Source organism: Homo sapiens, chromosome 4 (genome assembly GCF_000001405.40).
Source record: "Homo sapiens chromosome 4, GRCh38.p14 Primary Assembly".
Taxonomy (NCBI): Eukaryota; Metazoa; Chordata; class Mammalia; order Primates; family Hominidae; genus Homo; species Homo sapiens.
In genome coordinates, this window is record NC_000004.12 from 70,912,656 (window position 1) to 70,937,085 (window position 24,430).

The following is a 24,430-nucleotide window of genomic DNA, read 5'->3' on the forward strand; positions in this document are numbered from 1 at the left end:
ATCCAGAAACCCCATTGAGTTTCATCTGTTGCTTTAACAATGTAATCTTCGACAAAAGGATCCAGTCATGAATCATGTATTGCATCCACTTATGTCTGTAGTGTTTTTCTTTTTTCTTTTCTTCTCACAGAGTCTTGCTCTGTTGCCGAGGCTGCAGTGCAGTGGCCCGATCTCGACTCACTGCAGCCTCGACTTCCTAGGCTCAAGGGATCCTCCCATCTCAGCCTCCTGAGTAGCTGGGACTACAAGCATGTTCTACCACACCCGGCTAATCATTTTTTTGTGGAGATAGGGTTTCACCGTATTGCCCAGGCAGGTCTTGAACTTCTGGGCTCAAGCAATTTGCCCGGCCTTGGCCTCCCAAAGTGCCGGCATTACAGGTGTGAGCCACCGGGCCCAGCCTGTGTTTTTCAAACTGAAATAGTTTGTCAGTCTTTCCTTGACTTTTATGACCTTTACATTTTTGAGGATTACAGGCCATTTTGTAGAACATTCCTCGCTTTGGGTTTCTCTGATGTTTCCTTGTGCATTTGAGTTACGCATTTGAGGCAGGAATATCACAGAAGCCATGTATGTTTTTCTTTTCTTATGTACGTTTGTATGGGTATGTATGTATGTATGTATGTATGTATGTATGTATGTATGTATCTATGTATTTTTTGGGATAGTCTCACTCTGTTGCCCAGGCTGGAATGCTGTGGTGTGACTGTGGCTCACTGTAACCTCTACCTCCCAGGCTCAAGCAATCCTCCAACCTCAGCCTCCCAAGTAGCAGGGACCACAGGCATGTGTCGCCACACCCCGCTAATTTTTAAATTTTTTGTAGAGACAGCCCACATTGCCAGGGCTGGTCTGAAAATCCTGGGCTCGAGCAATCCTCCTGCCTTGGCCTCCCGAAGTGCTGGGATTCTAGGTGTGCGCCACCGTGCCCAGGTGATGTGCATTTTTCTTACTGCATCTTATCAGATGCATATAGTGTCTATTTGTCCATTATTGGTGGTGTTAACTTTGATCCTTTGATTAATGTGTTTGCCAGGATTCTCCACTGTAAGGTTATTATTATTTTTTGTTATTAATATTTTATAGGGAGATATTTTGGTAGTATGTAGCTCTCCCATTCCTCATTCTGTTTTCACCCACTAGTTTTAGTGTTCGTTGATATTTCTTGTCTAAATTGTTACTATGATGATTGCCAAAGTGCTAATTCTGTCATTGCTTCTAAATTTATTAGTTGGCAATTTTACTGTAAGGAGGAATTTACTCTTTTTTTTTTTAATACCAATGTGTGCTGTGATCTGCATGTTTGTATCCCTGTAAAATTCATATGTTGAAAGTGATCACCAAGGTGATGGTATTAGAAGATAGAGCCTTTGGGTGGTGAAGAGATCTTGAGGGTAGAGCCCTCAATAATGGTATTAGTGCCCTGATAAAGATGCCTGAGGGAACATGTTAGCCTCTTTGCCCTTCTACCATGTGAGGACACATAGGAGGCGCCATTTACGAGGGCTTCACCAGACATCAAATCTGCTGGTGACTTGATCTTGAACTATACAGGCTCTTTAACTGTGAGCAATAAATTTCTGTTGTTTATAAATTATGCAGTCTGAGGTACTTTGTTGTAACAGCCTAAAGTGACTAAGGCAGTGTGGATATAAGGATTCCCATGTTCTTCAGTGAGTTGGCTTCTGTGTCTCTTTGACTTGTTCCCATCCTCATTTGAACACTTCCTTACTTCCTGGCACAACAAAATATTTTTTTATCTTACACTTTTTCTGCCCCAGTCCAGGAGATAGACATTTATCTGAGGACGTTGGTTCTGCTCAGTGGAGAACAGTATTTAGAAACCAAAATCTAGGTGTAGGTATGCTGATTACAGATGTGTTGCTGCTCCCAGGCACTCTCATTGGACAGTACTAAAAAATACATTCATTTATATCCATATATTTTTAGCTATATCTATCTGTGTATATTAAACGAGTTCACATCACTACCTTCAGTTGCAAGTCAGTGGCACAGGGTTCATTCTAGCCTTCTCCTTTCCTATGTTTTTCTTTGTTGTTGGTAAGAAACCTGACTTTTGTCATTCTCAGGTAGTTGTTTGCTCTGTCCCTGTACTACAGCTGTTCTCTTGACCCTGTCTGGCCACCCTCTCTGGCCTGGGCCCAAGCTGTTGTACAGTCGCGGTTACTGCCCCACCTCCTCTCCTTGGGGCTGTGTGGGCCCCTCCTGTAGCATATAAAGGATGAAAGCAGTCTGAGATTCAGCTGTGTGTGGTACATGTGTGACAGTAATGTGTTTTTTTCCTATGAATCCTATGTTTAGGATCAATACTTCAGAAATGTTGGGAGGATTAGAGATACTGAATGTAGAAGACTTAGCTCAATCGATTGGACTTATGTGCGACAGTGATACTTCGGTTATTATCATTATCTTAACAATGATGATTGCTAGCAGCTGTTATTTTTTATAAACCACTTAGGATTATTTAAATTGTAGCCAATTTCTATCGGTTTGTTATGGTATGTGTTAGTGCTATTTTGATATTCTGTGGTTAGAACTTGAAAGCAGGAGTTGAAGGTAAACAAGCATTATTTGGGTAATAGTGTCATCGGTGGAGGGTGTCCAGGTTCTTGACATCTTGAACAAAGAATTGGACAAAATGCACAGACAAAACAAGGAAGGAATGACGGGATTTATTGAAAATGAAAGTACACTCCACAGTGTGGGAGCAGGCCCGAGCATAGGGGCTCAAGAGCCCCGTTACAGAATTTTGAGGAGTTTAAATACCTTCTAGAGGATTCCATTAGTTACTTCGAGTATGCCCTATGTAAGGGAGGTTAAATACTTTCTAGAGGATTCCATTAGTTACTTCAGGTACGCCCTATATAAATGGAGAGAATGAAGTAAAGTTATAGTCATTTACTTGGCCTCTGCCCCATGGAGAGGATATTTCCTGTCATAGCTGAAGTGTGAGTTGGCCTTATGTTCCGTGCCTTCAGGCCCTATTTTCCTACCTCATCTGCCCCTGAGAGATGTGACCCTGAGAAATCTTTATGGGCGGCAGAGGGGGACCGTTGGTCTTTTTTTTTTTTCTGTAGCTTGTTTCATGCTGGCTTGAGGCATAGTCCCTACCTATTGGGGATCGTGGAACTGTCTCCCTGCTCTGTCTAGTGGAAGCAGGGTAGCTCCTTGATGGCCAGGGGTGGTGTCTTCACCTGGAACTGGCTGGAACCTTTGTTGCCTGATCATCTTAAGTTTGATGGTCTCTAGGCGAGAGGAAATGAATTGGATTAAAATATTTAATGGGGGCTTCAGAGGGTGGGTACCTATGCTGTCAGGAATGTTTGTTACAGAGTTTGCAGGCGATAAAACAAAACCTGGTCTATTCTAGGATCTACATGTTTCCTTAAAGCCTTAGCATGAACGACTCCATTTTAGTTTGGTTTGGTCTCTTGGGGCCTAGTGCATGAGATTAGTCCAAAACGATGGCCTCCCAGAATTTTGTTTAAAAAATTCCCCCTTTTTGGTCAGGTTCTCACTTAGGTGAGAGTGTGACCAAAATTTAGGGCCTTAGTATCACTCTCAGTTACCATTATTTTGGGTTTCTGGTCTCAGCACGTCATTCATAGGTTACGGTGTCCTCATGGTCACACATTTCTTTCAGCTCTTGTCATTTCAGTTGAAGAGAGACCATATGACATTCTAGAGATGGCTGCATGCAAGCATTTAAAACCTTTGAGAGAATACAGTGCACGAGAGAGACTATTATTATGACTATTTGGGAGGGTAATACCAAGAGTTGCTTACCCAAGGTCCCCGTAAAACAAACCTCCTAAATTCAAATAGAACAAAGAATGAGCTAAAGATTTTACTCACTTGCCTAGGCAATTTCTTTGTTAATCCCCTGCCACTGAATATCTTTTTTTTTTTGAGACAGAGTCTTGCTATCTTGCCCAGGCTAGAGTGCAATGGCATGATCTTAGCTCACTGCAACCTCTGCCTCCCGGGTTCAAGCAATTCTCCTCCCTCAGCCTCCCAAGTAGCTGGGATTACAGGCATGTGCCACCATGCCCAGTTAAGTTTTTGTATTTTTAGTAGAGACGGGGTTTCACCATGTTGGCTAGCCTCGTCTCGAACTCCTGACCTGAGGTAATCCACCCACCTCGACCTCTCAAACTGCTGGGATTACAGGCATGAGCCACTGCGCCTGGCCTACCACTGAATTTCTATAATCTTCATTGGATGTATTTCTCTATAGGCCACAAGTAGCAGCAGCTGTTCACATACTTCTCTGTTCAGCCAATTCCATTATAACTTTCACAGGAGAATTTAAAGTCTGTTGTGTAACAGTAGCTTTTACAGTAGAATTTGCTATAGAGTGTATTATGAGGGATACATTTCTAACACTACTTCTTTTACTTTTAACCTTGGAAAAAGGACCTAACAAATGATGCCCTTTTAGAACAGTGAAGGCCTCCTGGCAGTGTTCTCTTTAACCCATGATATGGGTTAAGAGTAGTGAACCAGTGTTTTGTTTTTGACTGATTATGAGGCAACGTATGTACCATTAAGGTTTCTTACCTACATTGGGTCTTCATCTTTTATCTATGGAAGTATAAGGCTGGCTGCAAACTCCTTCAAAAATAAAAGTACACCCCATTAGTGCACATAACAGACTCCTTTTCCATTATAAGCAAGAAAAACATTCAAAGATAAGAGTTTCATGATAGTAGAAGTTTTAATCTCTGAACTTGGGGAAAAACTGTTCACATCAAGGACGTCATCTTTTTCTTGGGAGAAATTTCCTTGGTTAGCTTTACCTCAAGGATTCAAATGGGTGCACAGTTCCAAAAGTATGGAGAGAGCCCTCTCAGTTGTGAGATTATGAACCCAAAGTTCAAGGTCCCGAAGTTTTGTTGTAGTGTGGATGGGAAGGACAGTCTTTCTCTGACGTTCTCAGAAGATCCAAACCATAAAAAACTGTCTTTACCTGGTAAAAATACACTGTAGTATAATAATCTACTGTTTTAGCATCAGCCCTCTTGCATGGGAAAGCTTTTATACAACCAGAAAACATGCATTGAAAATAACAATTTAATAAAATCCCTTTATAAAATGTTTAAATGGCCCATCAGGTCACCAAATGTATGTGAAGCTTTAATTATTTTCCCAGGAATGTGGGATCAAGCATTGATGATAAACTATCTTAAACAGTTTCAGTATCAGTTGGTTTAAAATGAAAATTGGACAAAGTATTTTCTTGATATTTAATTTTTTTTGGTTTTACTTGGGTTAGTAGCTTTATACAAGGAAATTTGGTTATTTCTATGGTTTACAATAACTTAATAACCAAACTTAGACATTGGGATTTTAGAAATCCCATACAATTTTGGAACATACATTATCCACAAAAATATATCCTAAAGAAGATTGAACATAATTTTGGCAATCCCATGTACCTAAACATGTCAGATAATCCTGTTTACCTTTTTTCTAGATGTTTTCAGGGGCCCTCTGATCCATCCACAAAGCCAGGCATTAGAAAAGACAATTTTGGGATGGCTGGGTCAAATGGTATTTCTAGTTCTAGATCCCTGAGGAATCGCCACACTGACTTCCACAATGGTTGAACTAGTTTACAGTCCCACCAACAGTGTAAAAGTGTTCCTATTTCTCCACATCCTCTCCAGCACCTGTTGTTTCCTGACTTTTTAATGATTGCCATTCTAACTGGTGTGAGATGGTATCTCATTGTGGTTTTGATTTGCATTTCTCTGATGGCCAGTGATGGTGAGCATTTTTTCATGTGTTTTTTGGCTGCATAAATGTCTTCTTTTGAGAAGTGCCTGTTCATGTCCTTTGCCCACTTTTTGATGGGGTTGTTTGTTTTTTTCTTGTAAATTTGTTTGAGTTCATTGTAGATTCTGGATATTAGCCCTTTGTCAGATGAGTAGGTTGCGAAAATTTTCTCCCATTTTGTAGGTTGCCTGTTCACTCTGATGGTAGTTTTCTTTTGCTGTGCAGAAGCTCTTTAGTTTAATTAGATCCCATTTGTCAATTTTGTCTTTTGTTGCCATTGCTTTTGGTGTTTTAGACATGAAGTCCTTGCCCATGCCTGTGTCCTGAATGGTAATGCCTAGGTTTTCTTCTAGGGTTTTTATACCCAAAGGACTATAAATCATGCTGCTATAAAGACACATGCACACGTATGTTTATTGCGGCACTATTCACAATAGCAAAGACTTGGAACCAACCCAAATGTCCAACGATAGACTGGATTAAGAAAATGTGGCACATATACACCATGGAATACTATGCAGCCATAAAAAATGATGAGTTCATGTCCTTTGTAGGGACATGGATGAAATTGGAAATCATCATTCTCAGTAAACTATCGCAAGAACAAAAAACCAAACACTGCATATTCTCACTCATAGGTGGGAATTGAACAATGAGAACACATGGACACAGGAAGGGGAACATCACACTCTGGGGACTGTTGTGGGGTGGGGGGAGCGGGGAGGGATAGCATTAGGAGATATACCTAATGCTAGATGACGAGTTAGTGGGTGCAGTGCACCAGCATGGCACATGTATACATAAGTAACAAACCTGCATATTGTGCACATGTACCCTAAAACTTAAAGTGTAATAATAATTAAAAAAAAAAAAAGACAATTTTGAAACTGAAGTTTGATTTTGGAATTCCAGATTCCCGTAAATTATTTATTTTGCCAGAATGATGACTCAGAAATTTTAAAGAAGTAAAAACCTTTTATAACCTTTTACCAAAAAAACCTCACATTCTACTGTTCTTACACACATTGTATGTAAGACTGTTTCTTTTTTTGTTGTTGTTTTGAGATGGAGTCTTGCTCTGTTGCCCAGGCTGGAGTGCAGTGGCGCTATCTCGGCTCACTGCAACCTCTGCCTCCCGGGTTCAAGTGACTCTCCTCCCTCAGGCTCCCAGGTAGCCAGGACTACAGGCGCGCACCACCATGCCAGGCTAATTTTTGTAGTTTTAGTAGAGACAGGGTTTCCCCATGTTGGCCAGGCTGGTCTGGAACTCCTGACCTCAGGTGATCAGCCCGCCTCGGCCTCCCACAGTGTTGGGATTACAGGCGTGAGCCACCACACCCAGCTGTAAAACTGTTTCTAGTAGTCTTAATTGCATGTTATAATGGCAACTCTTAGAAATTTTAATTTTGATGTAAAACCTGGTGAGTTATGTTCAATAAGGTTTGATGTATAGTCATGACTCCACATGTCCCCAGGCCTTACCTAGCTGGAAAGCAGGCAAGTTAAACAATTTTCAAAAGCCAAAGAAACAGCTTATGACCCTAAAGCAAATATTTGAACATAATTTAATTACATATTATGTTATACATAATTATACATAACATAATATGTAACCACATATTTACATTTTGAAGACATATTTTACCAATTATCTTTAAAACTATCCTTATTTCCCAGAAATTACTCAAGTCACATGAACTAGATAAAAGACATTACACTTTTCACTTTTCTGACAAAATATTTGATTTAAGCTCCTCTTCCTCTTCCTCCTCCTCCTCTTCCTCTTCCTCTCCTCCTCCTTCTCATTCTCCTTCTCCTTCTCCTTCAACAGTCTCACTCTCCGCTCACTGCACCTCTGCCTCCTGGGTTCATGTGATCTCCTGCCTCAGCCTCCCAAGTAACTGGGATTACAGGCGTGCCCCGCCATGCCTGGCTAATTTTTGTATTTTTAGTAGAGATGGGGTTTTACCATGTTGGCCAGGCTGGTCTCGTACTCCTGACCTCAGGTGATCTGCCTGCCTCGGCCTCCTAAAGTGCTAGGATTACAGGCATGAGCCACTGAACCTGGCTTCTTATTATTACAGCAATTAATTTAAAACTTTATGGAGGAGATAAACAGTGACTTTTACTTTATATTTAACTAGTTTGCACAGAGAAAGAAGCCAGATATAGACTGGTAAGAAATTCTTACCCTTTTGCCAGCATGCCAGTTTTCTGGGTTCTCTCTCTCTGAGTGATCCTAGTGACCCTGCTTGACTGTATGCAGACAAACACATTGCCATGAATTAAGAATACTCACAAATAGTTTACAGATTTTTGGGGGAAATTAGGCAGAGAAAGAGAAGTATGATTCAAATTCTATTTACAAGAATATACTCAACACAGTTAAAGTATCAGGAGGCCTAAAATCCAAAAAGTTAGCTTAAGGATGAAAAGCTGGTGTGCTCCATTAATCTCTACTGATAAAGGTAGTTTAGGAATTCCAGATAAATGGAACAAATGATGACTTGCTAGAAATGCATCAGAAACAAAATAACCATTCGCGGAACCAAGTAAAAGCCTTCCACTAGGAACTAAAAAATATCATGGTTTTTTATATATATGCATACACAAGCAAAGCCAGAGGAGAATAAACAGCAAATGAATGAAAACTAGAAGCAAAAACAAACAGGAAACCAACCCTAAATTTTCCTATTTAATTTACCCTGGAGGCTACAGTGTTACCTAGGGCCCCAGAAAACTCACATAATGAATATTTTATTCCTGATACACAATTTAATATCCTTTAGTTTACCAGTACTATTATACATTCTATGCAGTCAAGAAATCCACTTTAGGCACATGACCAGTAAGTACTCCAGTGCCAGCACTATCTATGCAAAACAGTAAACATAATGTGAAGCAATGCAGGCATGTGTGTGAAATTTGGCTCCACAGTAAATCCAGCTTCATGCTTAACTATATTAAAAAAAGAATTGCCAAACTGCTGATGGATTTCTTTCTTTCTTTTCTTCTCTCTTCTCTTCTCTCCCCTCCCCTCCCCTCCCCTCCCCTCCCCTTCCCTTTTCCTGAGATGGAGTATTGCTCTGTCACCCAGGCTGGAGTGCAGTGGTGCGATCTCAGCTCACTGCAAGCTGAGTGAGCTTGCAGTTCAAGCAATTCTCTTGCCTCAGGCTCCCCAGTAGCTGGGATTACAGGCATGTGCCGCTATGCCCAGCTAATTTTTGTATTTTTAGTAGAGATGGGGTTTCACCGTGTTGGCCAGGTTGATCTCGAACTCCTGACCTCATGATTCACCCACCTTGGCCTCCCAAAGTGCTGGGATTACAGGCGTGAGCCACCGTGCCTGGCCCGCATTTCTTTACAATACTTCTTATTTTACTTTAATCAAGGCTAGGAGCTTTGAATATGAAAGTGTTAATTAGCCTTATGTCTTCAATTCTCTATCGGGTTTTAAAGAATATTTTATTATTTAAACTTTTCCCACATCTTTCTCCCCTACTTAATGACTCCTTACTACATTGTTTCATAAATAACCTTTTAAATCTGTAATTTGAACTGACTTTTAGATAACTTCTGAATTAGACAAAATTATTCTTTCTTCCACTAATAACATAATCCTTTCTGGCACATTTTGTATACAGAATTACGTGTTAACTAAAATTCTTATCCTTAGTAACCTAAAACTTTAGTGAAACCCTAAAAAGCAAGAAATCCTGAACTATCAGATATGGGCATTTATAGATAAGAACAATTCCACAATTTTAGAAACATATTTCCCCATATCACAACCATTTCTTAGTTGAAGATGACCCAGATATTAAATGAGCATCGAAAATAACTTTAAGATTTTAATTTACACAAAAAGTTTACCTAAAACATTTATCCCATTTGCTGTACTTAATTTTTACTTTTAACAAGGGAGACACGAGACATCAACCAACACATGTAAAATAAACATTGGTTCGTTCCAGAAAGGCAGGACAATTCGAGGTGGGGAGGGGGCTTGGGGGCTTTCAGATCATAGGTAGGTGGGAGACAAACGGTTACATTCTTTTGAGTTTCTGATTAGTCCTTCCAAAGGAAGCAATCAGATGTGCATTTATCTCAGTGAGACTTTGAATAGAATGAGAGGCAGGCCCGAATTAACACTGACATTTAAAAATACCTAGCAAAGACAAACATAAAATTCAGACAAAATGTATGCTGACAATTCTGAAGGCATTTCTATTTTTATTCCACCTATAATTTTGAAGCTAATTTGTTTAGTAGAGTTATACTTCTAAGTCACGTGAACTTGAAAATTGCTTAGACTTAATTTATGAGCACTCTTACTTATAAGCCAATTTTGGTAGACACAACATGTAACAATAAGTGTACATACGAATAAATACATCTAGACATCTATACACACACACAAACGAAGATCCAATTGCTTGGAACCTTAGCCATGAGGTAGCAATACAAGCTTGCCAGTTTTACTTTGCCCCAATAGATAATCCAATGAAGGCTGTGAACCAAAATTTTGGGTAAAGCAGTCTCCATGGCAGTTTGATTATTAAAGGCCAAACCTCCCCAGACTCTGAAGAGCACTGGGGCCAAACAGTACCAAAGGAGAACGTCACATTAATCAGGCCCCCTGCTTAGAACCGCAGCACAAAAGCCTGGATACATGCAACGCCATCCCATTTTCCCATTAAACAGTAAGCTCCAGATTCCAAACAATTTTGGGGCCAAGCAGCGTTACAACTGCGGGAGAATTCTGAGGAGGGCTCAGAACTTCTAGACCTCAGAACCTCTGCAAGAGCATCCTCTTTGGGGAGGCTGAGGTCCACAGGATCCCCCAGAGCATCCTCCTATGGGGTCCAGTCTTAGTGTGTCACATGTCTCTGATGTCTCTGACCTTAGGTGGGCACCGGTGCCACATGCGTAGAGACGAAGTTTTGCCATGTTTCCCAGGCTGGTCTCCAACTCCTGGGCTCAAGCGAACTGCCCGCCTCAGACTCCCAAAGTGCTGGGATTATAGGCATGAGCTACCTTGCCTAGTCAAATTTTCTTTTATTGCTACCCTTGTATCTGTCTGCCTAAGTCTTTTTGTTGTTCTCAAATTGAAATTTGATGATAATAGTTTAGTAGTTATAGTATTATAGTATTGGGCATTAGGAGGAATATTTTTTATGTAAATCTTCTTTTGTAGAAATAGGTAACAGTAGGGCCGGGTGCGGTGGCTCAAGCCTGTAATCCCAGCACTCTTGGAGGCCAAGGCGGGCGGATCACAAGATCAGGAGAAAGAGACCATCCTGGCTAACTCGATGAAACCCCCTCTCTACTAAAAATACAAAAAAATGAGCTGGGCCTGGTCGTGGGCGCCTGTAGTCCCACCTACTCAGGCTGAGGCAGGAGAATGGCATGAACCTGGGAGACAGAGCTTGCAGTGAGCCGAGATCGCACCACTGCACTCCAGCCTGGGCAACAGAGTGAGACTCAAAAAAAAAAAAAAAAATTAGACTCAAAAAAAAAAAAAGAAATAGGTAACAGTATAACTTAGTGGAAATGTATAACTCTGTAAATAAAGAGTAATTTAGTAGAAACAATGGGGGAAAGGTATTTTAAGGCAACTTTTTCTGGTGTTTGGGATCATGTTTCAAACAGATGAGCAACAGCATAACCCTCCTGCTGTTTAGAGAATCCATTTGTTTGCTGGAGCTCTGTAGTGTTAGATTTAACTACTGAAATAGCTCTTTGTTTAAAAACTCCCTGTGGTTATAGTTTTTGCTCACATATGCCTGGTTGCATTCTCACTAACCCTTCTCCATACCTGCCAAATATTCAGCTGTCTTATTTTCAACTCTTAGGAATTGTACTTTTGAGTCAGTGAACAGCAGACCAATTCACAGCAATATTTTGAGGTCTGCTGCAGTGACTTTGACTCTTCAGCCCTTTAAGTCCCAAAGTGGCTTAGACTCTTTAGCCCTTTAATCTTCATCAGTGTTTCATTTGGAAAATAGCAAGCCATCAAGAACCAACTATTTTTTTTTTAAATTATACTTTAAGTTCTAGGGTACACGAGCACAACGTGCAGTTTTGATACATAGGTATACATGTGCCGTGTTGGTTTGCTGCATCCATCAATTCATCATTTACATTAGGTATTTCTCCTAATGCTATCCCTCCCGAAGTCCCCCACCCACCAGCAGGCCACAGTGTGTGATATTCCCCGCCCTGTGTCCAGTTGATCTCATTGTTCATTTCCCATCTATGCATCTATGAGTGAGGACATGTGGTGTTTGGTTTTCTGTCCTTGTGATAGTTTGCTGAGAATGATGTCTTCCAGCTTCATCCATGTACCTGCAAAGGACATGAACTCATCCTCTTTTATGGCTGCATAGTATTCCATGGTGTATATGTGCCACAATTTCTTAATCCAGTCTATCATTGATGGACATTTGGGTTGAAGAACCAACATTTTTTAAAAATTATATTTCTAATTATAGTTAGAACCAAACTATACAAAAAAACTACAATTTTAAACAGCTAGACATTTGGGAACCAAAATTTGCTTTAGTTGAGCTCTATTGATTTTATTTTATTTTTATTTTATTTTTTTGAGATGGAGTCTTGCTCTGTAACTCAGGCCAGAGTGCAATGGCGCAATCTGGGCTCACTGCAACCTCCACCTCCTGGGTTCAAGTGATTCTCCTGCCTCAGCCTCCTGAGTAGCAGAGACTTACAGGTGTGTGCCCGGCTAATTTTTGTATTTTTAGTAGAGACGGGGTTTCACCATATTGGCCAGGCTGGTCTTGAACGCCTGACCTCTGGTGATCTGCCCTCCTCAGGCTCCCACAGTGCTGGGATTACGGGCATGAGCCACCATGCCTGGTGAGCTTTATTGATTTTAGCTTTCTTTCAAGTGGGAATGTATTTGTAAGGTGTTGTCTAGGGATAACTATACTTGTTAGTGATGTCTTTGCCTTTTTTGATATCACTTAACATTAAGGAAGAAAAATACCACTGTCATTTTATGTAGCAGAAGAAAAACTGCTCTTGGTCCTCTGGTGACAGAAAGTACTCTCAGGATTGAGAGGATCAGTGTCTCTACATAACCATAATCCTTGAGAAGTTTGCTGTAGACTCTCAAAGTGTGGATCTTTGGCACCACCTAGGAGTATGTTTGAAATGCAGGATTTCGGGTCCTAATCATTGGATTATAATGCATTTTAATAAGATCCCTAGGTGATTTGAAAGCACCTTCCAAAGTGGATGCCTGTATATTTAATTTAAATGGTTTGAGATAAGGTGAATAAGAAAAATCCTTGGATTCAATATAACACCAGTTCTGTCTTTGAGAGATTCCCAATAAGGGAGCCTCAATGTAGATCCCCGTACTGTCCTTTCACACTTGCAATTATTTTCTTGTTTAATGTGTTTTTTTCTCCTTCTGGATTCTAAGTTTTCTCCTCCTGGACTGAGGGTTTGTTCATCATTTTATTTCCCAGCACATTAGGACATTGCTTAGCAAATATGTTTTCAATAATTTTCTTATTTGTGTGAGTGACAGGATCTCACTCTGTCACCGAAGCTGGAATGCAGTGGTATCTTCTCAGCTCACTGCAACCTCAACCTCCTGGGCTCGTGATTCTTCCACCTCAGCTTCCTGAGTAGCCGGGACTTTAGGTGTGTGCCACCATGCCTGGATAATTTTTGTATCTTTTGTAGAGACAGGGTTTTGCCATGTTGTCCAGGTGGTCTTGAACTCCTGGGCTCAAGCAGTCCGTCCACCTTGGCCTCCCAAGTGCTGGGATTACAGCCATTTTTTTTTTTTTTTTAATTAACTGAAGATTGTCATGGGAGAGAACAGTGGCCTATGAGTGAGGAAATCCGAGATTCAGAGTCTTTGGTCTGTCACTAGCTATGTGACCTTGGGCAGATGACTTAATTTCTTAGTTTCTATTTCCTCTGCCTACTGGAGGGTAACGAATGCTTCTTCCATTGGGTTAATGTGAGACTTGAATGACAGAATGTATATGAAAGCTTTTCATAAACCAGAGTCCTGTATAAACACTGTCATTATCTCCACTCATGAAATTCCCAAGCCCAGTGTATAAACTGTTTGTGCATTCCAGTTTTTTGTTTAGCTGTCTTACAAATGTATGGCATTATTGCATAATAAAATGAACATTTATTGAACACCTCCTGTGTGTAAAAGCGAAGTGTTAGGTGCTTGCTGGTGGTGGGAGGAGAAAGGAAGGGGTTTAGAAATAAACAAGATGTGCCGGGCGCAGTGGCTCACGCCTGTAATCCCAGCATTTTGGGAGGTGGATCATGAGGTCAGGAGATCGAGACCATCCTGGCTAACACGGTGAAACCCCGTCTCTACTAAAAATACAAAAAAATTAGCCGGGCGTGGTGGTGGGCGCCTGTAGTCCCATCTACTTGGGAGGCTGAGGCAGGAGAATGGCGCAAACTCAGGAGGTGGAGCTTACAGTGAGCCGAGATTGTGACACTGCACTCCGGCCTGGGCAACAGAGCAAGACTCCGTCTCAAAAAAGAAAAAAAAAAAAAGAAATAAGATGCGGTCTCTGTCCTCAAGAATCTTAGCACTGGAGACCAGCGTGTTACATAGATGTGCTCCTTAATGGTTGTTTTAAACTCTCAGTTCCAAGTCCACTGGCTAATGATGGTTAAAGACCCTTGCACTGCAAGATATTGCATTGAGTATACAAACTTTCTTGGGTGTATGTGTGAAATAATTGCAGTCTGTGTTCATCAAAAATTAGGAATATAAAGAAAAAAATTGCTGTCAGCCAGGCGCAGTGGCTCATGCCTGTAATCCCAGCACTTTGGGAGGCTAAGGTGGGCAGATCATCTGAGATCAGGAGTTCGAGACCAGCCTGGCCAACATGATGAAACCCCCGTCTCTACTAAAAATACAATAATTAGCCAGGCATGGTGGCACTCGCCTGTAATCCCAGCTACTTGGGAGGCTGAGGCAGGAGAATCGCTTGAACCTGGGAGGCGGAGGTTGCAGTGAGCTGAGATCATGCCACTGTACCCCAGCCTGGGCAACAGAGTGAGAATCTGTCTCAAAAAAAAAAAAATTGCCGTCAATACCACAGTTATAAATATGTGTAGTGCATTCACCTATTCAAAACAGCAAGAATTTTGCCGAATTGAGCTTCCGGTTTTTAGTCAGATGCTGTTTTTATTGTGTGGATGCGGGGGCCTCCCCTGCTTGTTCTTGGCATTGCTGCCACTGCTGTTCCACTTTAGCATCTTGGTTTTTAACATGGAGGGGAAGTGGTAGGAATCCTTCGGTGCACTCGCTTCCTGTAGTTCACTTGGGCATTTCAGGTAGATATTGGAATGGGCTGGAAGTGGTCTGCAAAACTCCAAGGCATAGAAGGCCTCCCTGAGATGTTTGCTTACCACTCCAGCCTCATCCGTGCCTTCCTGCTCTAACATCCCTCCCCCACAGTGTTCAGTGATTTTATTTGCATTTCTCTCAACCTGCTTTGCTCCATCTTTCTGCCTTTGTAAATGCCGTTCCTGTTATTCTGGCTGTTATTCTTCTCCTCCCCACCCCCATTTCTTTAGCTCAGGAGCCAACTTTTTCCCTGGCCTGTGCCCCCTTCCCAGTTTGTTAGATACCATTTCAGTGCCCTTTATAGTCCTTATCATAGTCCTTTCCAAAAAGACATTGTACTCCACCCACTGTCATGTGTATGATCTCTTTGAAGATGGGGCATTTTCAAAAAATGTTTGTTTTAAATCTCTACCACCTAGCATAGTGCCTCTTAGTAACAATTTTTTTTCCTGACTAATCAATGACATTTTCAAGAATTTTGTTTTTTTTTTTTTTGAGATGGAGTCTTGCTGTGTCACCTAGGCTGGAATGCAGTAGTGTGATCTCGGCCCACTGCACCCTCTGCCTCCCGGGTTCAAGCGATTCTCCTGCTTCAGCCTCTTGAGTAGCTGGGATTACAGGCGCGTGCCACCATGCCCGGCTAATTTTTTGTATTTTTAGTAGAGATGGAGTTTCACCATGTTGTTCAGGCTGGTCTCGAACTCTTGACCTCGTGATCCACCGCCTCAGCCTCCCAAAGTGCTGGAATTACAGGTATGAGCCACCACACGTGGCCTGACATTTTCAAGAATTTCATCACGGGTGGTGAGAGTATGAGTGATTCTCCTCAGTCTGTTGTATGTTTTTCCATTGTAAAGATTTTAGGGAAAATATTAAAAGGTGGCTACTGTGCACAGAAGAGTTTAGAATACCTATTTATTGGATTTTTATAATAAAAAAACTTTTTTTTAATAGACACGGGGTCTTGCTATGTTACCTAGGCTTGTCTTGAACTCCTAGGTTCAAGTGATCCTCCCACCTTGGCCTCCCAAAATGCCGATATTACTGGCGTGAGCCCCTGCACTCAGCCTTATTTATTGTATCTTTATCACATAGTTTTGTAGAGACCTTCTTTACAGGATTGTCATATACCAGGCACAAGTTTCCTATTTTCCAATGTGCCCTGTAAATTGTGTTCCCTCTACCAGGGAATGAGAGTGCTCATTTCCCTGCATTCCCACTATCATTGCATCATTAAGAAAAAGAGTCATGAAAGCTTCTTGGACTTTTAAAATTAATGCCAAATAAACAAGATAATAGTAAAGGTACTTCCAAATAATTTCTGTCCCCTGTATTTCTTTTCTTCTTTTTCTTTTCTTTCTTTCTTTTTTTTTTTTTTTTTTGAGACAATCTTGCTGTCACCCAGGCTGGAGTGCAGTGGCGTGATCTTGGCCCACTGCAAGCTCCACCTCCCAGGTTCAAGTGTTTCTCCTGCATTAGCCTCCCAAGTAACTGGGATTACAAGTGTGTGCCACCACGCCCGGCTAATTTTTGTGTTCTTAGTAGACAAGGGATTTTCCCATGTTGGCCAGGCTGATCTCCAACTCCTGACCTCAAGTGATCTGCCCACCTTGGCCTCCCGAAGGATTACAGGTGTGAGCCACTGCATCTGGCCAATTTAATTTTATTATTTTATTTTTGGAGATAAGGTCTTGCTCTGTGGCTGAGTCTGTAGCACAGTGGCCCAACAACTGCTTATTGTGGCCTCCACCTCCTGGGCTCAGATGATCCTCTTACCTCAGCCTCCTGAGTAGCTGGGACCACAGGTACACGTCACCACACCAAGCTAATTTTTTTTTTTTTTTTGAGATGGAGTCTCACTCTGTCGCCCAGGCTGGAGTGCAGTGGCGCGATCTTGGCTCACTGCAAGCTCCGCCTCCTGGGTTTACGCCATTCTCCTGCCTCAGCCTCCCGAGTAGCTGGGACTACAGGCACCCGCCACTGCGCCCAGCTAATTTTTTGTATTTTTAGTAGAGACGGGGTTTCGCCGTGGTCTCGATCTCCTGACCTTGTGATCCGCCCGCCTCGGCCTCCCTTAATACAGCCACTGCGCCCAGCCTTAATTTTTAAAATTTTTTGTAGAGACAGCGTCTCCCTATGTTGCCCAGGGTGGTCTTGAAGTCCTGGGCTTGAGCAATTCACCCGTCTCAGCCTCCCAAAGTGTTGGAATTACAGGCATGAGCCACCGTGCCTGGCCAGAATGAAGTTTTAAAATTTAAAATTTAGATTTAAAATGAAGTTTTAACAATTTACTAGAAAAATAATGCTTTTTTCGAAATTAGCATATAGTATAGTCTATAAGGGTGGATTTCACAAACTGAGATATTTAACTCAGTGTATATCTTGTTTCTTAGTTTTTTTTTGATATTTTACTACAGGCAATAAACTGATAATTTAGTGTACATAAACATGTTTGGGAGGCAGATGGCATATGTGGAGCTCTAAAAATAACTAAATTCTGGGGGTAGATTTAAAGTTACTTTTCACTTACTTCTCTTAATTCTTTTATTGCTTTTCTCATGGAGTCTGTTAGAAAGCTATGCCAGGGTTTTTAGTTTCTGATTATTTCAGGATGAAGAGTTTTTTTCTTTTAGTAACTCTTTCCCCAAAGTATGAGTAAACAGTCGTGTCCAATTGCTAGTGCATGTGAAGAATATGCTTTTATGGCATGCTTGTTATTTTTGAGTATTTACAAGTTGAACTATTAAGAGTAATTTATATGTTACAACAACTCAGAACACTCTACCTTTTTTTATTAGTAAAATCAGTAAATACTGTGCATGATTGTATGTGTGAAACCCTGGTAGCTTAATGAATTTTTTCTTTTTTTAAATGTCAGGTCTGACAACTGTGCTTGCATTTCACTTATTTCAAAAAGAGGAAGAGGGAGGATTTTTGCATTTAGTTTTGTGCATTTTTTTCTTTTTTTCCCTCTGATGGTTTTCACTTATTTCTGTTATCCTCTCTTAGTTTAAATGGTCAGAGTCGAAACCCATTCTAGGTATTGGGGAGCATTGCAACGTCTCAAATAATGTGAAATGTCACTTTTGCAGTTGACTGTATTAGCACTAAAGGGACTTCTTTAAACATTTTTAATTGTACCTTTCCTTTTTTTTTTTTTTTTTTTTTAACACAGCTGTTTCTCTGCCTTGTGTCCCAGGTTTGATTGCATCTGTATATTACTTTCACAGTGGGCCTTTCCTGACATCACACTGATAACCACTAGCTGCTTTTGTTAGACTTTGTTTAGAGAAATCATGGTTGTCCTGTGCTTGGGTACCATAAGCTCATGCTTAAAGCATTGGTGATCTGAAAGATCTGTTAGCTTCCCAGACAGAAAGGGGAGAATGAAATTAGCTTTAATGAAATAAATGTTTTGGCTCAGTTGTATAGAATAATTCAAGTCTTCTTATGATTTGCAGTTACATTCTGAAAGAATATGTCTAGAACTGTGTATGCCCCTGTAAATCAGGCTCAAAGAGGTAGGACTTAGACTTTAGGTGGTGGTAGTTACAAAACTTATAATTTGGGCAAAATCATCGTACTTTTGTGTCTCTTTTTCTTATTCATAAAATAACAGTTTTTATTTGACAACATGCAGGCTTTCTTCCTAAACATGTTAGAGAAGATTTATGATTGGCTTGTGGAACTGGTCAGAATGAGATCAGACCTCTGAATAAATAGATTACCTTTAGTGATTTTTTAGGGTTGGAAAAATTTCTAGTCCAGCCTCTTTGTTTTTAGATGAAATATTTGCTTTGGGTTTTATGATTTTCTGAGGTCACACTTTGTCAACTGTATAAATACATTCTGGTGAGACTAATTTTGATTACCAAGAATTCCAAGTGTCTTATTTTAGTTGAATTTTATGACATTAAGACAATTTTCCACCTTTCAGAGACAGGATGTCACTCTGAGGCTGGAGTGCAGTGGGGCGATGGTAGTTCACTGCAGCCTCGAACTCGTGGGCTCAAGCAATCCTCCCATCTCAGTCTCCTAAGTAGCTGGGAGTACAGGCACATGCACCATGCCTGGCTAAGTTTTGTTGTTGTTGTTCAGACGTGGTCTTACTGTGTGGCCCAGGTTAGTCTCGAAGTCCTGGGCTCAAGCAATCCTCCCACTTCGGCCTTCCAAACTAGTGGGATTGTAGGCATGAGGCACTGCACCTGGCTGGTTTTCTGCTCTTTTCGCAGTTTCTTGTTAAAAATGTACAATATGTAGATATAACTCAAGCCTGTATCTGTGGAGCAGGCCTCTAGTAGCTACCAAGGATAAAGAGATGGTACAGATCTATTTAGCTGGTATTAATTATTGAATATCGATTGTATGCCAAGTGGTGCTCTATATTTCTATATATATAATTTAATTTTCAGATTATAAGAGAAATCATATCATCCATCATGTAGATTATATGATTTGCAATCAAAATGATTGCAGTCAAGCAATTAAATAGCTTACCTGGAATCACGTAACTAGTACTAGACAGATCAGCATTTCCAGTCTAGGTGATCCAACAGCAAAAATCAAGGAATTTTTTTCTTTTTCTTTCTTTTTTTTAACCACATGAAGTAGGTAATGCCTGAGTTAAATAATAATAGTAAATGGGTTTTATTGATCTTTGTGCCAGGCATTGCACTAGTATTTTATTTTCTGATTTCTAATCCTTGGGAAAACTCTTGCAGCATGCTGGTCTCTCCATTTTGTAGATGAGGCAAATAAGGTTCTAGAGAGGCTGGGAAGTAAATCAACTCTCTCACTAAATTGTGGAGTTGCAGTGTGATTCCAGAGCCATAGGACTCCATCAGTCTGTGTTTTTCCACTGCCCCATGCTGCTTGTTGGTTTTGTAAATTACAACGTGGTACATGTTTCTGGCTTTTGTTTTCCTTAGGGGCCATTGGTATATCACATTGATTGAATGTAGCAGTGTTTCTAATGTGGATGTTTTTGAAACAATTTTGGTAATAGCACTAAGGATGATAGCAGTAGCAGCTACCAGCTAGCTAATTAGGATGCCATTAGAATGAAAAGTCTCCATTTGTATAGATGGTTTTGACTTATCTATAGTATACTGTAAGAACGCTGGGTCATATATCTATATTATTGTATTAGTCTGTTCTCATACTGCTGTGAACAAATACCAGAGACTGGGTAATTTATAAAGAAAAGAGGTTCAACTGACTCCCAATTCCACAGGCTGTGTAGGAGGCATGGCTGGGGAGGCCTCAGGAAACTTAACAATCATGGCAGAAGGGGGAAAGGGAAGCAAGCACTTCTTCACATGGTGACAGGAGAGAGAGAGAACAAAGGGGCAAGTGTTAAGCACTTTTAAACCACCAGATCTCAGGAGAACAAAATCACTGTCACAAGAACAGCAAGCGGGAAGTCCATCCCCATGATCCAATTACCTCCCACCACGCCCCTCCTCCAACACTAAGACATGAGATTTGGGTAGGGACACAAAACCAAACCATATCAATTATATAGTATATTTAGGTTTTAAAAACAGAGCAGTTTACTAACATTTCTATACATAATCCATTTTATTACCATGTTTTGATTAAGCATTCAAACTAGTTTTAATTAGGCTTTCAAACTTAAAAAACTTTATTTTTGTCAGTGTTCTTCATGTACGTAGTTTAATTTAGAGTCAAATAGTTCTATAGGGCTTGTAATAAAAATAACTCTTTTTTTTTTTTTTTTTTTTTTTTTTTGAGACAGAGTCTTGCTCTGTCAACCAGGCTGGAGTGCAATGGTGTGATCTCGGCTCACTGCAACCTCCGCCTCCCGGGTTCAAGCGATTCTCCTGCCTCAGCTTCCCGAGTAGCTGGGATTACAGGCTCCCGCTACCACGCCTGGCTAATTTTTGTATTTTTAGTAGAGATGGGGTTTCACCATGTTGGCCAGGCTGGTCTCAAACTCGTGACCTTATGATCCGTCCACCTTGGCCTCCCAAAGTGCTGGGATTACAGGTGTGAGCCACTGTGCCTGGCCAATTATTGAATCCTTATTGTGGAGGAAAAGGTTTCACCCCTCTCTTACCACATAGGGCTGGGTGCAGTGGCTCACGCCTGTAATCCCAACACTTTCTGAGGCCGAGGCAGGTGGAGCACTTGAGGCCAGGAGTTCAAGACCAGCCTGGTCAACATGGCAAAGATCTTGTCTCTACAAAGAAGAAAAAAAGTTTTGCAAATACCACATACATACTTCTCATTCTGCAACTTATTTTATTTATTTATTTATTTTTGAGGTGAAGTCTCGCTCTGTTGCCCAGGCTGGAGTGCAGTGGCACGATCTCTGCTCACTACAACCTCTGCATCCTGGGTTCAAGTGATTCTCCTGCCTCAGCCTACCGAGTAGCCAGGATTACAGGCATGTACCACATGTGCCTGGCTAATTTTTGTATTTTTAGTAGAGATGGGGTTTCACCATGTTGGCCAGGTTGGTCTCGAACTCCTGGCCTCAAGTGATTCACCTGCCTCAGCCTCCCAAAGTGCTGGAATTACAGGCATGAGCCACTGTGCCCGGCCCCATTCTGCCAACTTTTCAATATATATTATGTAAACACTGTGGACAGTTGAGCCAAGTACTGGAATATAATTTTTTTTTTCTTTTGAGACCGAGTCTTGCTCTGTCACTCCAGGCTGGAGTGCAGTGGTGCGATCTTGGCTCACTGCAACCTCTGCCTTCCAGATTCAAGTGATTCTTCTGCCTCAGCCTCCCGAGTAGCTGGGATTACAGGCGACTGCCACCATGCTTGGCTAATTTTTTTGTATTTTTAATAGAGACAGGGTTTCACCATGTTGGCCAGGCTGGTCTCGAACTCCTAACCTCAAGTGATTTGCCTGTCTCAGCATGCCAAAGTGTTGGGATTACAGGTGTGAGCCACCCCACCCAGCCTGGAATATAATTTTATTTTTCCTCTTATGCATAACTTGATGCTGTCTCCGTAATTGTTTTGTTTAATTTCATATGTATTCATTAGTCTTTTATCCTCAAATACTCCCCCAGTTAACCTTCACACATATTTAAATTCTTTTCTTATAATTAAAAAAATTATTTTTAATTTTTAAGATTAATTATTATTATTATATGTATATTTTTAGAGACAGGGTCTCTCTCTGTTGCCGAGGCTAGAATATGGCAGATCATAGCTGTAGCCTCCCACTTCTGGGCTCAAATGATCCTTCTGCCTAGCTGGGACTACAGGTGCAGTGCATGCCAGTATGCCCGACTAATGTTTTAAATTTTTTTGTAGAGATGAGGGCTTGCTATGTTGCCCAGATATAAGGAGTTTAAAATTGTATTAGTCTTGTTCAGCCTTCAGAAGAAATGCTAGGCCTCTGACCAACAAATGACCCTATGTGGGCTACAGCCTACATGGAGATTAAACACCCACCAGTCCTGAAAAACTTCAGATAAGAAAGGGAGTATACCGTGGAACTTCTCAAACCTAGGGAATCTGGGCAATTCTCTAGGTTTCATACCATCCGAAGACACACAAAGTAAAAAATTAAGCATTATGAATTAAACCTTTAGAGCTGCATATTTGCACGTAGCTGATAATTTCAGTTAGCGGCTTGGCAACATAAACTGGGACCCTCTGATTGCTCTCTGAAGTCTCGCCTGTGGAGTAAGCACACATTGCCTGGAACTCATTTCAGTTGGAACTCCAGATGGCTGTTCTAGGACTTCCCGACACTGCTTAATCTGAATGTAGGTATTTTCCTCAACTTGGTGAATGTGTGTGTGTGTATTTTCCTTTTCTCTCACTTTAGTCTTTGCTAAGTTAACCATTATACTCTTTTTTTTTTTCTTTTGAGACAGGGTCTTACTCTGTCACCCAAGCTGGAGTGCAGTGGCTCACTGCAATTTCTGCCTCCTTGCACTGCTCACTGCAACTTCTGCCTCCTGAGCTTAGGCGATTCTCCCACCTCAAGCCTCTGGAGTAGCTGGGACTACAGGTGTGTACCACCATGCCTGGTACACTAATTTTTTTTTTTTTTTTTTTTTTGAGACGGAGTCTCGCTCTGTTGCCCAGGCTGGAGTGCAGTGGCGGGATCTCGGCTCACTGCAAGCTCCGCCTCCCGGGTTCACGCCATTCTCCTGCCTCAGCCTCCCAAGTAGCTGGGACTACAGGCGCCCACCACTACGCCCGGCTAATTTTTTGTATTTTTAGTAGAGACGGGGTTTCACCGTTTTAGCTGGGATGGTCTCGATCTCCTGACCTCGTGATCCGCCCGCCTCGGCCTCCCAAAGTGCTGGGATTACAGGTGTGAGCCACCGCGCCCGGCCGGTACACTAATTTTTGTATTTTTAGTAGAGACAGAATTTTGCCATGTTGGCCAGGCTGTATTCGAACTCCTGAGCTCAAGCAGTCCGCCCACCTCAGCCTCCCAAAGTGCTGGGATTGCTGGAATTACAGGCATGAGCCACCAGTATACTCTTTTGCTATGCTAATCATTAAACTTTTCTTTGAACTGCATTTAAGTGTAATATTGTGGTTTCTTTTGCTTGCAAATCCTCAAACCCAAACTGAAAGTAAAACTTTCAGCAAAACACTAGGCTGGTCTTGAACTCCTGGCCTCAAGCTGTCCTTCCTTGGTCTCTGAAAGCACTGGCATCACAGGCATGAGGCACCGTGCCTGGCTCATTCGATCTTTTTGAACAAACCTATGTTGGAGTTTTTTGACCTGCTCCAGTCTGTATTGTTGGTATTATATAGTCCTGCACCATAGCTGTCATATTTGGAATATCTTTTAGCCTTCATCCATGGGATTCCCCTTACATAGTTCTTGGGTTGGATTTCCTGTTTCTTTGATCTCATGTCTTGGTTTACTTTTGTATTTTGGTGAGGCAGACCTTCTAAAACTCTAGAAGCAGTAAGAGGAATGTAAGTATTTTAAGACCTTATATATCTGAACATACCCTCATACTTGATTGGCATTATGTCAGAGGAGTATAGAGTTCTAGGGTAGAAATAATTTTCCTACAGAATTTTGTTTTAATTTGTCTGGGATCGAAGTTCCATTTGCTATTCAGAAGTCTAAATGGGTTTCTTTTTTTTTTTAATTTTTTTGAGACGGAGTCTTGCTCTGTTGCCCAGGCTGGAGGGCAGTGGTGAGATCTCAGCTCACTGCAACCTCTGCCTCCCAGGTTCAAGCTATTCTCCTGCCTCAGCCTCCCGAGTAGCTGGGGATTACAGGCGCCCACCACCACGCCTCTCTAAT

At 41.3% G+C, this 24,430-nt stretch overlaps 1 protein-coding gene across 6 annotated transcripts in view, besides 1 other annotated feature; it reads left to right on the forward strand.

Moving 5' to 3' along the window:
- Positions 1–24,430, forward strand: part of MOB1B (MOB kinase activator 1B) — an 86,318-nt gene that overhangs the window by 10,805 nt on the left and 51,083 nt on the right. The window lies entirely within an intron of this gene.
- Positions 1,977–2,271: a silencer, noted in NCBI's record as "tiled region #2882; HepG2 Repressive DNase matched - State 7:EnhWF". NCBI's record gives its function as "represses a minimal TATA promoter and a strong SV40 promoter by Sharpr-MPRA in HepG2 cells {active_cell/tissue: HepG2}" and the evidence as "EXISTENCE:reporter gene assay evidence [ECO:0000049][PMID:27701403]".